The 15307-nt window shown below is 41.2% G+C and overlaps 1 non-coding gene and 3 pseudogenes across 3 annotated transcripts in view; 2 read left to right on the top strand and 2 right to left on the bottom strand.

Moving 5' to 3' along the window:
• Window positions 1-5003, bottom strand: part of RSU1P2 (Ras suppressor protein 1 pseudogene 2) — a 55121-nt pseudogene extending 50118 nt beyond the window's left edge. The window contains exons 1-2 of the transcript NR_024472.1: window positions 4869-5003; window positions 4247-4373 (exon numbers count right to left, since the gene is read on the bottom strand). The product of NR_024472.1 is annotated as a Ras suppressor protein 1 pseudogene 2 (transcript). The remainder of the gene's footprint in view (window positions 1-4246; window positions 4374-4868) is intronic.
• Window positions 1649-2564, bottom strand: ANKRD54P1 (ankyrin repeat domain 54 pseudogene 1; annotated as a pseudogene).
• A 65-nt stretch (window positions 5004-5068) lies between the features above and the next one.
• The window catches only part of ANKRD30BP3 (ankyrin repeat domain 30B pseudogene 3), a 31380-nt pseudogene continuing 21141 nt past the window's right edge, over window positions 5069-15307 (top strand). The window contains exons 1-2 of the transcript NR_033891.1: window positions 5069-5265; window positions 7185-7589. The product of NR_033891.1 is annotated as an ankyrin repeat domain 30B pseudogene 3 (transcript). The remainder of the gene's footprint in view (window positions 5266-7184; window positions 7590-15307) is intronic.
• MIR3156-1 (microRNA 3156-1) lies at window positions 14421-14495 on the top strand. The gene has a single exon (NR_036112.1). It is a non-coding gene; the product is annotated as a microRNA 3156-1 (primary transcript).

Here is a 15307-nt window from a genome sequence, read left to right on the forward strand (position 1 = left end):
GAACCAGCTAATGAGTTTCCTTCTGATAACAGGTTTGTTAAGAGCCTGGTAAGAAGTGCAAGATTGACAAAGGTAAGGTTAGTAGCGGAGGTAAGTGAAAGCTTGAATATAGGAAACCTTGGACCACTTGCCATTGCAGTGGATAAAATTTTCAAGATTTCGTTGAATTTGAAAGTCAAAGATTCCATTTTAAAGCCATTGACTACCATTGTCCAGTCGCTATTGGGGCCAGGCCATGTTACAAAGGATATTGAACGTTTGGGCTTAATGTGAGGGCTTGTGACCTAGAGTCTGGAGGTTGCAAGGGAGACAGCCAAGTGATGTGTCATGGGGAAACCTTCTTCAGGTGGATTTTGAGGCTTCACTGCAATACTAGCTTCCTGTTGCTGCTGCAACAAATTATTATTATTATTATTATTATTATTATTATTATTATTTTCAGATGGAGTCTCGCTCTGTCACTCAGGCTGGAGTGCAGTGGTGCGATCTCAGCTCGTTGCAAGCTCCGCCTTGTGGGTTCATGCCATTCTCGTGCCTCAGCCTCCCAAGTAGCTGGGACTACAGGAACCCGCCACCACACCTGGCTAATGTTTCGTATTTTTAGTAGAGGTGGGGTTTCATCGTGTTAGCCAGGATGGTCTCGGTCTCCTGACCTAGTGATTCACCTGTCTTGGCCTCCCAAAGTTCTGGGATTACAGGCGTGAGCCACACACTTAGTGTCTTTAAACAACATATATGTATTCTCTCACAGTTCTGGAGGCCAGAATTCTAAATTCCCTCCCACTGAGTCAAGGTGGGAGCAGGGCAAGTGCCTTCGGAGGCTCTGTGGGAGAATCCATTTCCTGGCTCTGGAGGCAGCCTGCACTCCTCGACTTTTGATGCCCTCCTTGAATGACTCCAATTTCTCGCTTCCATCACTACACCTCCCACCACTCTCCCATCACCTGCTCTGCTCTTACAAGGATCAGTGAGTACATCAACTTGCCACCTAAAGAAGCCGGGATAATCTTCCCTGCCAAAGGTCCTTAACTTCATTACATCTGCAAAGCTTCTTTTACCATATAAGGTAATGTTCACAGGTTCCTGGATCAGGATATGGGCATATTGAGGGGCCACTTATAAGCCTAATACAGCTAGGCTGCAAAATACTACAAGTAGACTGCAAAACCATTACACCCTCTGGTGTTTTAATGATTGGGAGAAAAACAGTTGGGATTTTTTGCTTTGGGGTACTTCTTAACTTTGAATTTTTAAGGTCTAGGGTACCTCTTAAACTTGTATTTTTAAGGTCTAGCCCTCATCAACCCTCTCTTCCAACCAGAGACACCCACTGCAGTGTTTCCTTGAAAGTCTGGTGACATGTCTAAATCTAAGTTCTGATGAGAGGCACAGGGCCAACCAGCAGCCCCCACGGCAGCCCCCTTGGCCAGAGGGTGCCCACGTAGGCCAAACCAAGTGACTGAAACAAGCTCATGGCTGGGAAGGAACATAGAGAAGGGTCTAGGGCCTGGTGAGGGCACCATGGAGGCCATGGGGTGAGCGAGGTCTGCTAGGACAGTGCAGGTCTGCGGAGCTGAAGTGAGGCTGTAGAGCCTGGCCTAGTGCCACAGGAGCCGGAGGAAGCAGCTGGGGGCTATCGTCCCGGTCCACAGAGATGCTGGAGACTGTGGCACTAGGAGTAGCCCTGAGGCTGTGGGGAGAGCATCTCTACCCCACAGCATCTGGGGGTGACGGCAATTTCCTCACCTGACAAGGGCAGCTTCCAAGTCCCAGATGCTGGGCTTTTTCTTTGTACTCGGAGACTAGTGGGGGCAGTGACAGGAAGCCAGGGAGCCTCTCTTGCAACCTCCTCCATGCTCTGTATCCAAAGACTGAGGGAGGTGGAGCTGGCTGGGAGGTCGGGCACTTTATCCACCTGCTCTTTGGTACTGGTCATCTGGAGGTGGGTGCAGAGGTGGTCCAGCCATTCCAGTTGTTCACGTCACCATAGGTGCACCGGGTACTTCTTGAGCATTGGGATGATCTGCTTCACCTCCAGTCACACAGCTTCCAGGCACTGGGAGTGGTCCTCCTGCAGGATGTTCAGCTTCGACTTGGCCAGGTATGGAGGCATATGGCCAGCTTGGTCCAGGGCATCCACCAGGCCCCTCGTCGCAGCAGTATGGTGATGACAGAGTTGTGGTTGGTACAGGCCAGAATGTGGTCATTACCATTGCAGGAGACAGAGTGTAGAGCTGTGTGGCCCTTGTCAGCTGCACAGGGATCCGTGCCATTTTCCAGCAGCTACCGCACTTTTTCCACATCGTTGGCACTGGTAGCATTGGCATTGTCTCCCTCATTCTCTTCAGAGCTGCACCTCTTTGCCCGAGCCACCAGTGAGGCCTGGCAGTGAGCCTCAGCCGCCAGCAGCGATCTTGCAGCACAGCTCCTGGTGCAGCTCTGCGTCATACTGCCACCAGTCGTGTAGTAGTGCAATGGGGACTTGGCCCAGGAGGCCTCCTGGCCCGGGAGGCCCATGCAGCTGCCCCCGTGCAGACCCGAAGTCAGCGAAGGAGAAGAGGCCCCAGGTACCTTGCAGCTTTTGTTGTTGTTGTTGTTGTTTTGTTTTTTGAGGCAGGGTCTCGCTCTTTTGCCCAGGCTGGAGTGTAGTGGCGCTACCTCTGCTCTCTGCACCCTCTGCCTCCTGTGCTCAAGCCATCCCCCGGCCTCAGTCTCCCAAGTAGCTGAGACTACAGGTTCACTCCATCAGGCCTGGCAAATTTTTGTATTTTTGGTAGAGATGGGGGTTTCACTTTGTTGCCCTGAGCTCAAAGCGATCCGCCCGCCTCAGCCTCCCAAAATGCTAGGATTACACGCCTGCACCACCATACCTGGCCACTCTAAAGTCTTATTTCCACACAGCTAAGACATGTTTTAGGAAGTCTGCTAAAATACCCCTGGAGACCTCCTTATTGTGGTCTCCCTTTTGTCGTGTTAATTTGATTGATCTTTTCTGCCCTCCTGCTTTTCAGAAATTTAAAGGCTAAAAAGAGGACCTAAACTTTAAAACTTCTCTTTTAGTCTCCCATTAAACTAATTGTAAGAACCACCAAAAAAGGGAAAAGTTCTTTGGAAAAATTATTTGGAAAGCAGTAAAATGATATGGACTGTTAGGATGTAAAACATAGGATATAAGTCATTATATGTTAGTGGTGCTCTGACATAGGGACCTATTACTGAGAATCAACTTTTGCTCAATTTTCAGAGAAATGGAATGGTTGCATCACTTATCTACGTAAACAATTGAAGAATTGTCTGAAAGAAAATATGGTATGTTTAAACTGGAAAAGTCCTGTAATACTTTGTTCATGAGCATTTACACAGTGGAGTTACTGTTAATTTTGGGGGTACTGTGGACAAGCCCAGGGCTGCCAGTGAATCGAGTCATCCTTACACGTCTCTCTTTGTAAGGTGCTTTGCAGTGTCTGTCTAAGTACTAGAAACATTCTTTGTTTCTAGATTACTGCAAAGCTAAGGAAAAGCTATATTTCCTTAATTATCAGCTAGCATTTCTTTTAAACTTTTAGCATGGATATTTGGGGATTTATTTACATATTTATTGCAAAGCCCTGGATTACAGAGATTTAATTGAAGATTTTTTAAACTAATAGTTTCTCTGAATCTGCTTTGTTAAAATCAGTATTCACCAGGATGCCCCTGTTGTCTCTGTTTTTATCTTAATGCATCACTGAGTTGACGTTAAATTTCAAATTCTTCTTTGCCCTTAATACTATTCTATCCTGAAGCCACCTTTATATACTGATGAAAGAAGTAAGCAATCTGTTATTATCATCTGTTTGTATATATCAAATGCTCACCTCACAATAGCATCAACCAGTGAAAAACTTCACGTTTTACTGTTTTTATTTGGATAACTATTTACTTTGCAATCAACTAGCAAGGTATAAAATTGTATGATATGCAGAACTTTAACTGGATTGCTTTAAGTGAACATTTAAATATGATAAGCCATATTAATGATATTTAATACACTTAAAATGAACATGTTTTATTCATCATGAGTAATACAACCTACCACTCAATGAAAATCTAAAGTTAGAGTAAATTTGCTCATGAATTCAATAACTTTTCCATAATATTTTTAGTTATTTGGTTAAGGTTCTCTTAATGTTTCTTTCACTTTTTAATAGTTTACGCCTTTTTTGCCTGTGTTTTTTATTGGTTTGTTTAAAGCAAAATCTCATACCGTGTGCTACCTGGAAGCACTGTAACCTAGTGACAAGATCATAGGCTCTAGGGACACACTGCCGGGCCACGTCTCTTCTCCTGTCTGAAACTTGGTCTTTTGTGGTCATGAGAACTGAAGATCTATCCTGAAGATTGGATAAGATAGTAAAGTGCTTCACATTAATTCCTGGCATATAAATACATAATAAATGCTTCCACTTTATCTTGGCTCACTGCAACCTCCGCCTCCCGGGTTCAAGCAGTTCTCCTGCCTCAGCCTCCTGAGTAGCTGGGATTACAGGCACTTGCCACCATGCCTGGCTAATTTTTGTATTTTTTAATAGAGATGGAGTTTCACCATGTTGGTCAGGCTGGTCTTGAACAACTGACCTCAGGTGATCCACCCACCTCGGCCTCCCAAAGTGCTGGGATTACAGGCATGAGCCACCACGCCTGGCCTATATTCTTAATTTAGTACTATTCTGAGTAAAAATAATTAGCTATTAGTTTTATAAATTTACCATGACTATTTTATAAACATCAGTGCTTTCCATAAAGTGAAACAGGTTATGTTGTGGTGCATTTCTTTACCTTGTGCTGGCCAATCCCTCATTATGCTGTTCCCCTGTTGTAATACTTACATTAAATGTTACCAGTTTGTATTTAAGTGATTTATGTCTCCTGATTGGACTCTGACAAAGAGAAAAATGCTAGGAAGAGTACCAGGAGATAGCCCCACAAAGATGGGATTTGGGCATAGGTTTGGTTATTCAAGTAGCAGTGCTTAGCTTCTTGCCAATGGGAAATGGAATGCTGGTAATTTATAGGAAGTGACCTCACAATGACCCAAGCTCCTGTTTGTTGATTGTGATGAAATGCATGCTGAGGCACATGCCTTGGGAGCTAAGTGGCAGCTATACTTCACTACTATGGCAGTAAAGATGACTATAAAGACTGGCGGGGGATGGATCCTTTCAAATGTACCTGAGCTGGGATGCCCAGCTTGTGGAACGCACAGCAGGAGGTGAGCAGTGGCCAGTGAGTGAAGCTTCATGTGTATTTACAGTCCCTCCCCATCGCTGGCATTACCATCTGAGCTCTTCCTCCTGTCAGATCAGAGGCAACATTAGATTCTCATAAGAGTGTGAACCCTATTGTGAACTGCCCATGCCAAGGAAGTAGGTTGTGTTGCCCTTATGAGAATCTATTGCCTGATGATCTGTCACTGTCTCCCATCATCCTCAGTTGAGACTGTATAGTGGCAGAAAAACAATCTTGGGCTTCCCACTGATTCTACATTATGGTAAGTTGTATAATTATTTCATTATGTATTAGAAAGTAATAATAATAGAAATAAAGTGCACAATAAATGTAATGCACTTGAATCATACTGAATTTATCCTCTCCATCCATGGTCTGTGGAAAAATTATCTTCCATGAATTCATCCTCTTCCTTTTTTTGCTGCCCAGGCTGATCTCCAACTCCCAGCCTCGAGCAATCCACCCTTCAAAGCCTCCCCAAATGCTGGGATTACAGGCACAAGCCACAATACTAGGTCAAAACCACGTTTCTTAAACAAAATAAAAACTTGGCGGGAAGATTGCTTGAGCTCAGAAGGTTGAGGCTGCAGTGAGTACTTATCACACTACTGCACTCCAGCGTAGGTGACAGAGAAAGATGCTATCTCAAAAAATAAAATAAAATAATCCCACTCTGCCCACATCTTAAAAAAATATATTGTCCGTATCTTCATGACTCTCATTCCTGGCCCTTAAAATTCTCCTCACACTGGACCTTTGTATTCATCCACTTGTTTGACCCCTTCTGGGACCTGACCTGTCCCAGGAAGAGTCCCCATTTTCCTCCAATGCACTTGTCTTTGAGTCTACCTGGCCAGACACCCAAGAGTTACCTTGAGGTGTTACTTTTCTCCCTTCCCACATCCAGCCTAGCAAGGCTTGCTGATTCCGCCCTGAATACAAATCCCAGACCATACCCCATCTTCCTTCACTGCCTTCCAGCGCTCAGTCAAAGCCATGCCACAGAGCAGCCAGGTTAGTTTCATTGGAAGTAGGAGGTGAAGCCTGTCATTCTCTGGTCTGCCATCTGTAGTGGCTTCCCACTGTACCTGGAATAACCTCACAGCCCCTGATCGGGCCTGTAGGGGCGCGGGTGAGCTGTGCCCTGCTGTTCCTCTGTCATCCCATCATCCCCTCTGTGGATTGCTTGCTCTGTGCCAGCCACCATGGTGGTCTGTGTACCTTTCTTCCTCTCAAGTCACAGCCTCCTGCACTGTCATGCTGAGGGGTGGTGTTTGTGGAATGCTCTTTCTTTAGGGCTTTCTGTGCCTCTCCTTTCTATTTGTGTCACAGTTTAAACATGACCATATTGGAGAGGTCTCACTGAGCACCATCACACCTCAGCCTTGAGGCTCGCTGAACTCATCATCCTTTTATTTTCCACGAAGCAGTGCTGACTGACATTTTTCCTCTTACTGTAGCACAGTAAAAAACATCCAAGGTGAAGGATTAGAGCTTTAAAAAGTTTGGTAGTGTCCAGGCACAGTGGCTCACTCCTGTAATCCTAGCACTTTGGGAGGCCAAGGCAGATGGATTGCTTGAGCTCAGGAGTTTGAGGCCAGCCTGACTAATATGGTGAAACCTGTCTCTACTAAATACGAAAAGTTAGCCAGGCGATGTGGCCCGTACCTGTAATTCCAGCTACTTGGGAGGCTGAGATAGGAGAATTGCTTGAATTGCATTAAGCTGAGTTTGCACCACTGCACTCCAGCCTGGGTGACAGAGCAAGACTCAGTCTAAAAAAAAAAAACGCGAGAAAAGAGAACTTTGGTAGTATTTAAGGAAAGCATACAGAGTGAGTAGAAGTTTGCCAGGTGAAGAGTCAGGAGGATGATATTTAGCAGAAGGAAAATTTAACCAGATTGTGTGTTTGGCAGAAGGAACATCTGAAGGAACACCTGATGAGGCTGCACCCTTGGCGGAAAGAACACCTGACATGGCTGAAAGCTTGGTGGAAAAACCACCTGATGAGGCTGCACCCTTGGTGGAGGGAACAGCTGACAAAATTCAATGTTTGGGGAAAGCAACATCTGGAAAGTTTGAACAGTCAGCAGAAGAAACACCTAAGAAAATTATGAGGACTGCAAAAGAAACATCTAAGAAATTTGCATGGCCAGCAAAAGAAAGACCTAGGAAGATCACATGGGAGGAAAAATAAACATCTGTAAAGACTGAATGCGTGGCAGGAGTAATACCTAATAAAACTGAAGTTTTGGAAAAAGGAACATCTAAGATGCTCACGTGTCCTACAAAAGAAACATCTACAAAAGCAAGTACAAATGGTAAGATGCTTGAGTGAACTTTGTAAGGTTTATTGGCATTTCAGGTTTCTTAGTGAAAAAAGTGTGATATGGGAGTAGCTGGGAATGACTTGAATATCTAAATAAGGCAAGCTTAGGCAACACTTTTTCATAGTATAGAAATAAGTAGATATTATTCCGTAGGCCCTGGAAAAATTCTCACAATACTTCTGGCTGTAAATACTAAGTGAACTAACTAACAATGGCTAAAACCATAGGAACCAAAGTTGTTTTGGTGGTACAGGGATATTATAGGATCCCACATTTTTTTGTTTGTTTTTCATTTGAGACAGAGTCTCACAGTGTTGTCTGGGCTGGAGTGCAATGGCAAGAGCAATCTCGGCTCACTGCAACCTCTGCCTCCTGGTGATTCTCCTGCCTTAGCCTCCCAAGTAGCTAGGATTACAGGTGCCCGCCACCACTCCGGATAATTTTTTGTATTTTTAGTAGAGATGGGGTTTCACTATATTGGCCAGACTCGAACTCCTGACCTCATGATATGCCTGCCTTGGCCTCCAAAACTGCTGGGAATTCAGCCATGAGCCACCGTGCCCAGCCAGGACTCCACTTTTGGTTGGCTAATTAGCAACAGCTCCAATCATCATGCTCTCTCAAGACAATATTTAAAGGCTGGAAGGGCTGCTTTTGTTCACATGTTTCTTTTAAATAGGGAGAAAACTTGGAAGCTTGCAGTAATCTTCCTGTGACATTTTATTGGCTGGATTATACCACATGCTCATTTCTAAACCAGTCACTAGCAAAGCAAATGTAATTACTGTGATTAGCTTAGAATAATGATTTCTCTTTTTGAGATGGGATGGGGTAGTGGAATAATGAATATCTAAATAAGCTTGTGTTTCTGCAGCAAGAAAGAATAATGTCTTTGCATAGGAAGCCAGCAATGTTTTCTGTAGGGATTCATTGGAAAAGTTTAAGCAAGGGAGTCACAAGATTAGATTTGAGTATCAGGGCATACTGGTCATGGTATAAGGCAGAGATTGGCAAACTTTTCTTGTAAAGTGCCAGATAGGAAATACGTTAGGCTGCCGGACATGGTGGCTCACGCCTGTTATCCCAGCACTTTGGGAGGCCAAGGCACGTGGAGCATGAGGTCAGGAGTTCAAGAACAGCCTGGCCAACATGGTGAAACCCTGTCTCTACTAAAAATACAAAAATTAGCCAGGTGTGGTGGCATGCACCTGAAATCCCAGCTACTCAGGAGGCTGAGGCAGGAGGATTGCTTGAACCCAGGAGGCGGAGGCTTCAGTGGGCTGAGATTGCACCACCGCACTACAGCCTGGGTGACAGAGCAACACTCCATCTCAAAAAAAAAAAAAAAAGAAAAAGAAATATATTAGGCCATGTGGTCTCTATAACAGCTATTGAACTCTGCATTGTAGGGTGAAAGCAGTCATAGATAATGTGTGAGCAAATAGGCATGATTGTACTCCAATAAAACTTTGTATAAAAAACCATTTGGTAAGCTGAATTTGGCCTGTGGCCTATAGTTTGCTGGCCCTTCATATAAAAGATAGATGGAGGGTAATTACATAAAAAGATTTAAAGACAAAGTAAGCTTGTGTAGTAGTTCATGCTATAGTCTCCTTTTTGTTTTTTTGTCACCAATCTGTGGCCTAGTATCAATCTATTATGAAAGTTTGACCCATCCAGGATAAAATGAATCAAGTTCAGAAGCTCAGTTTACACATTTAAATATGTAAGTCTTTCTTTGCCATTATTTTATTTTGATTTGTTTTACTGAAATTTTTTTAACTTAAAAAATAACAGTAGTAACTGTTAGGGTTTCTTTTTCCCTGTGAAAGCCATCAGTTAAGGGGCCATGTCTAACTAGGCAATATAAATATAAAATAGTTTGTATTTCCAGTGGCACTGGAAAGATAAAGCAAAGGCAGAAAAGATGTACAGTTAATATGGTTTAGTGATTATTGAGTTTAAAAAGCTAGGGGACAGATACAATCTCAGGTCATTCATAAGTTTCCAGATTGTGCATGAGCATTTACAATGCTCATGGGGAAGGAGTAGGAAATTGTCAGGTTAACAGAGAAGAGCAAACAGTCATGGGACAGACCAGCAGTTTTCTTTACATAATGAGTTTAATGAAACATTCATGTGGGATATTTTCAGTAGGTAATTGGATTATAGGCATTTCTAGCTGGAGATAGAACTCTGGTTGGAGATGTAGGCTTAGGATAATTTTATTATAATTATTGGGCAAAGCCATAGATCTCAATGAGCTTATCCGTGATGCAGAAGATATAGAATAAGAAGAAAGCCATTGACAAAACCCTGGGAATATCAACATTTCACAGAGTCAAAGGACTTGGTAAAGGAGACTGAGCAGTGGCTAAAGAAAAGTAGGAGAGGAGTCAGAGAAAGTGATGTTGCAAATTTTTTTTAAATGTGAGAATTTCAAGCAGTAAGATTACTGAAAAGTGAATTGGATTTAACTTACAAGTTCTTCAGTGGTAATCTGTTCAAAAGAATTATTTTAGAGTTGTTAGGTATACTGTTGATGTGGTTGATATTTCTGTTGTCCAAGAAGAAATCTCCCAAGATCCTACCTAACTTTTTGTAACTAAAGCAGCATACATACACAGGGTCTGGGAAATTATCTAGACTGGTGAGTACACCTGCCAACATTTTTCCAGAATTGTCAAAACCTAAGCGTCATGTGTGAGGAAAAGTGTTGTCTTTTTTATCTGTTTCTTGTGGATAGTGGAGATCTGTGTTGTGTGTGTCTCTCACACGAACACACACACCCACGTACACAAATAAGTACAGTAATTCACCCTTATCCATGGGGAGTATTTTCTAAGACACCCAGTGAATGTCTGAAATTGTGGATAGTATGAAACCCTATATATACATGTTTTTTCTATTTATGCTTATTTATGATAAAGTCTAATTTATAAATTAGGCACAGTAAGAAATTAACAATAACTTATGATAAAACAATAACAATATATTGTAATCAAAGTTAGGTGAATGTGGTCTCTCAAAGTGTCTTGTATTGTACTCACTCTTCTTTTTCTTGTGATGACTGTGAGATGATATAATGCCTGTGTGATGAGATGAAGTCAGGTGAATGAGGTAGGAGTTGTCATGTGGTGTTAAGCTATTAATTATTTCTGGCTATCTGACTACATATCAGAAGGTGGATCATCTGCTTCATGTGGATCATTGAGCCATGATAATGTTGATGGTTGGGGTTCAGGAACAGACCATTTTGATGACTAATGGGCAGATAGCATATACAAAGGGATGATTCATGACCTGGGTGAGATGGAACATGATGTCTTAATACTTCATCGTACTCTTTAGAATGACACATTATTTAGAACTTATGACTTGTATATTTCTGGAATTCCCCATTTAATATTTTTGGACTATGGTTGACCATGAGTAACTGAAATCATGGAAATCAAAACCATGGCTATTATATTGTGAAACATATGTTTGGTCTTCAACACTGTTTTCTGGCATAAAACTCATAAAATGTTTAGAATCTCCAAAGTGATGTCTTTGTATGCTAATAATTGAGTGATGGCTGGCGGTCCCTAGGTAGCTTCAGGATAGGAGCTGGTCACAAAAAAGAACAAGGCATGATTAGAGTGTTGGGACTTTCAGCCCCACCCCTCAACCTCCTAGGAGGTGAGAGGAGATGAAAGTTAGGTCAATTACCAATAGCCACAGATTTGTTCATTCATGCCTATGTAATAAAGCTTTCTTAAGAACACAGAAGGACTGGGATCAGAGACCTTCCAGATAGTTGAATGTATGGAAGTGTTTGGAGGCCGATGTGCCCTGGGAGGGCAAGGAAGCCCCATGCCCCTTCCCCTATATCTTGCCCTATGCATCTCTTCATGTGTCTGCTTTGTGATACCCTTCATAATAAACTGTTAAATGTGTTTCCCTTAGTATTTGGGGCACTCTAGCATGTTAATCAAACCCAAAGAGGGAGTCATGAGAACCCCAACTTGAAACCAGCTGGTTAGATGTTTCAGAGACCCAGATTTGCAACTGTTATGGGAGGGCAGTCTTGTGAGACTGAGCCCTCCGCCTGTGGGATCTGAGACTATTTCTAGATAGACAGTGTTGGAATTAAATAAAGGACAACCAGCTGGTTTCTGCTACAGAATTGGTTGCTTACTTGTTGGTGGAGAAAATCCTCCACACATTTGGTCGCAGAAGTCTTCTGTTTTGATGATTGTTGTGGTGTGAGAGCAGAGGGAAATCATGTTGTGTGTGTTTCTTTCTACACATAGAGCAGATAAAGAGTGACTACTGTATACTCTGTTCTAACTGCTTCTAGTTCATTTGTCTAGAAATTGTAGTTTCTAAGATTGACACTGTCCACTTACACTAATTCTGCTAATAATACAATTTTCTGTCAGTCTTATAGGGTTCTGTTTGGATTATGACTATTGTATACTGTAGTTCACTTGTAGATACCAAATTGTGATAAATTCTATCTTTGCTTGCACTTGAGAACTATAAAGGAGTGGAAATAAGAGTTGTTAATGCATTAATTTCCTACCAATATAATGCTTAATAATAATTTTACTATAGTCTCAATGTATGGTCTCAAATGAATGCTTTATGACAAATCATCTGAGTCTTTGTAACAAAGTATTGGAGTATTATGCTTTTTTAAACAAGACCTGAATCATGCACGAAAGTGTGCATGATTCTTTTAAATTAAGTTGAAGTCTCATGATGTCTCCCAGGCTGCTTTCAGACTCCTGGGCTTCTCAGGTGATCCTCCTGCCTCACCTTCCCAAGTAGCTGGGATTACAGGCATGTGCCATCATGCCCTCTTATGTTTTTAATATTCTGTATTTTTTATTTATATTTGTTGATTTAATATATTTTACTTTTTTTCTTTAATAGTGGATGTGAGTTCTGTAGAGTCTATATTCAGGTAAGACTTTCCAGTTTTTTAAAACATGTATGTTAACTCAGAAAATATAAAGAAACCAGTATCTTTTGAGTGTTCTACTCTGGGATAGACAACATGTGCTTAATATGTATTATCTCACATAGTCATCACACAGTTTTGCAAAGCATCTGTGCTACTATCACCTACTTTGTATTAACCAGGCAAATGTGGTTCAGAGAGGTTGATTAATTGGCCTATGATTTCACAGCTAAAAAGTAGCTGACCCTTGAGTTTGCCATCAGCCTACCTTGCTCCCAAATCCCTTCTCTTGCCCCAAGGCATAGATTGATGGAGACCTGTGCATCACTAGAATCAAGGTACAGGTCCAGATGGGATCAATTCACAAAGTCACATTTTGTTATATGTTACCTCTTTTTAGAGTTTTCCCTTAGAACACTGGTTAATCCAAGACTTTGTTCTAATATGTTTAATAGTCAAAGTGATAACCAGTACCTTGTTTTTATTACCAAAGTTTTTAGAGCAGACCTTACTTAGCTGTGGCCACAAGACATAGGTTTTTGTTTCATAAGCAAGACCTGGTGAATCCTATAGATGAATTATTTTACTCTTAGTGGAGAATATCTACATATAGATATGTTATATTAATCATATTTAGAGGCTATTTCTTATAGATTTCTCTATTTACTGACTTCCCAGTTTAGTTTTTCTTCAAAGCAGTACCCTGCCTAGTTGCATGCACTCTTCATTTTTTTTTAGAGTCTTTTTTCTTCTTCCATGACTTTTCTATAGTCTTTTCCTGGTTACTTTCTTCTCTGCTTTCCTCGGTGTTCTTTTCGTGTATGATTTTATTCTTTCCACCAGCCCCATTTTTCTATAGCTAAAATTAAAAGCACATGGAATTTTAGGATTGTAAGGACTCTTGGAGACTAATCAAAATACTTTCATATTTCAATCTGTATTTAATATCCTGGAAAAATGGTTGTTCAGATGGAGAATCTGAAACTCAAAGTGACTTATTTAAATATCAGAGGTAGCAGAAGTAATATTTAAACTCATTTCAAAGCCCATTACTCTTGTTTTTATAACATCATGTGAGTGAGTGTTTGAATAATAGAAAGAAAAGGGAATGGGTCTAATTAAACAAATGGAAAGGGATAAGAATGGAATTAGCTGGAGAACCCAGTGGAAGTAGATAAGAATGGAATTACCAGGGAAAGGCCAAGTTTGAAGAGAAACAATCCCAGGACTGGTAGGAGTAAGGATTTTACCAAAGAGATCAGAATATTGGATCTTATGACAAGTTTGATGAAGATAAATTAGAGGAACAAAAACACAGATGACATTGGGAGTTATCTAGAAACTCATACTAAAATAGGGTTCAAAGGAAGTCCTGAATAGGTCGCTGCTTTTTCGCTTCTTTAATTGGAGAAATGGACACACTTCATGCTTTCTATTGAAAGATTAAAAAAAAAAGCCACTGCAAAAATTCTCTGCAAGCAGATAGAAATGTCCTATTGTGTTCTTTCACCCCAAATCTCACAGGAGTGGCTTAGAGCCCCTTGAGTGCTAGGGGATTGAAGGTTGCTGAATTACATAGATCTGTGGCCCAGGGCAGGTGTCCCCTCCCCTTTGCCTCTTTTTCCAAGCCTCTGATGTCTTACCCATGTACATGTAAAGCAGGGGTAAGATTGGCTGTCAAATAAGTCATGGTTCAGTTGGGTTTTTGATAACATGCTTACGCTGGAGGTGAATGACTGACTGAGACTCCATTTAGTTGTTTTCCAGGAACAGGTAAATACAGAGCTTCTAGGTTGGTCATTGAGTTTATCTTTTCAGTAATCTGTGCTTTGATGAGCAGAATATTTAAAGGTTGGAGACTGCCATGAAGCTCTGCAGAAGAAAGATCTGGAAGTGGGAGACACTTTTACTATATATAGTGGCTCCCACTTCCAGATCTTTCTCTCTGTGTAAATATAGTATTTAGAGAAATCCAACTATCAGGACTCAGTTTTTCTAGCAGTCTCTCTCCTTGGGTATAAGTACCTATGAAGATTTTTAAGGCTTTTCTAGTTTATGTAGACCTGAATAAGGAAAGACAAGTACAAAATAAGTAATTAGATTTTATTATTTTTAATGTTTCAATTTTTGTTGAGAAAAACATTCCCAATAACAAATATACATTTGTGTTTTGACATTTGTAGGTTCAGCTTTTCAACATTTCAAATATTTCAGGGCACTCTCTGCAGTGTTTTAGGGTGAAGGGAAGCAACAGGGCCTTCTTAAGTGGTTTTTATGCTGAAAAACAAAGAATGTCATTTTCCAGTGACACAGATTAGTCTTTGAATCAGAGATAGATAATGGAGAAGAAACAAGGTAAATGTATCTTTCTACCTCATTTTAGGTTATCAAGTTTGTTCCAGTTTAGATATCAAAAGTTATGTCAGCCATTAAGTAGATTTTCAGTTAATCATTAAGGACAGTTTGTGAGGACGAATTATACTCAGGGTATGCCAATTATATTGGCTGTCACTACTTATTATGGAACTAAGAGTCAGTCTTCATTGGATGTTATAGGTTGGGGAGGTAGAGTCAAAAATAGGTAACTAAAATCTTTTTTAAAAACAGAGGGCATATTTTAATTATACCAAGAAGCATGATTTAATATACAAAGACTGATTTTTCCCAGATTTTGGTTTTTGTTTTCATTTTTTGGAGTGAGCACCAAGATATGAACTAGCAGATTTTCTTTTTAAATATATGAATTTGCTTATTTTTGTTG

The sequence above is a fragment of the Homo sapiens genome, chromosome 10, assembly GCF_000001405.40.
Source record: "Homo sapiens chromosome 10, GRCh38.p14 Primary Assembly".
NCBI lineage: Eukaryota > Metazoa > Chordata > Mammalia > Primates > Hominidae > Homo > Homo sapiens.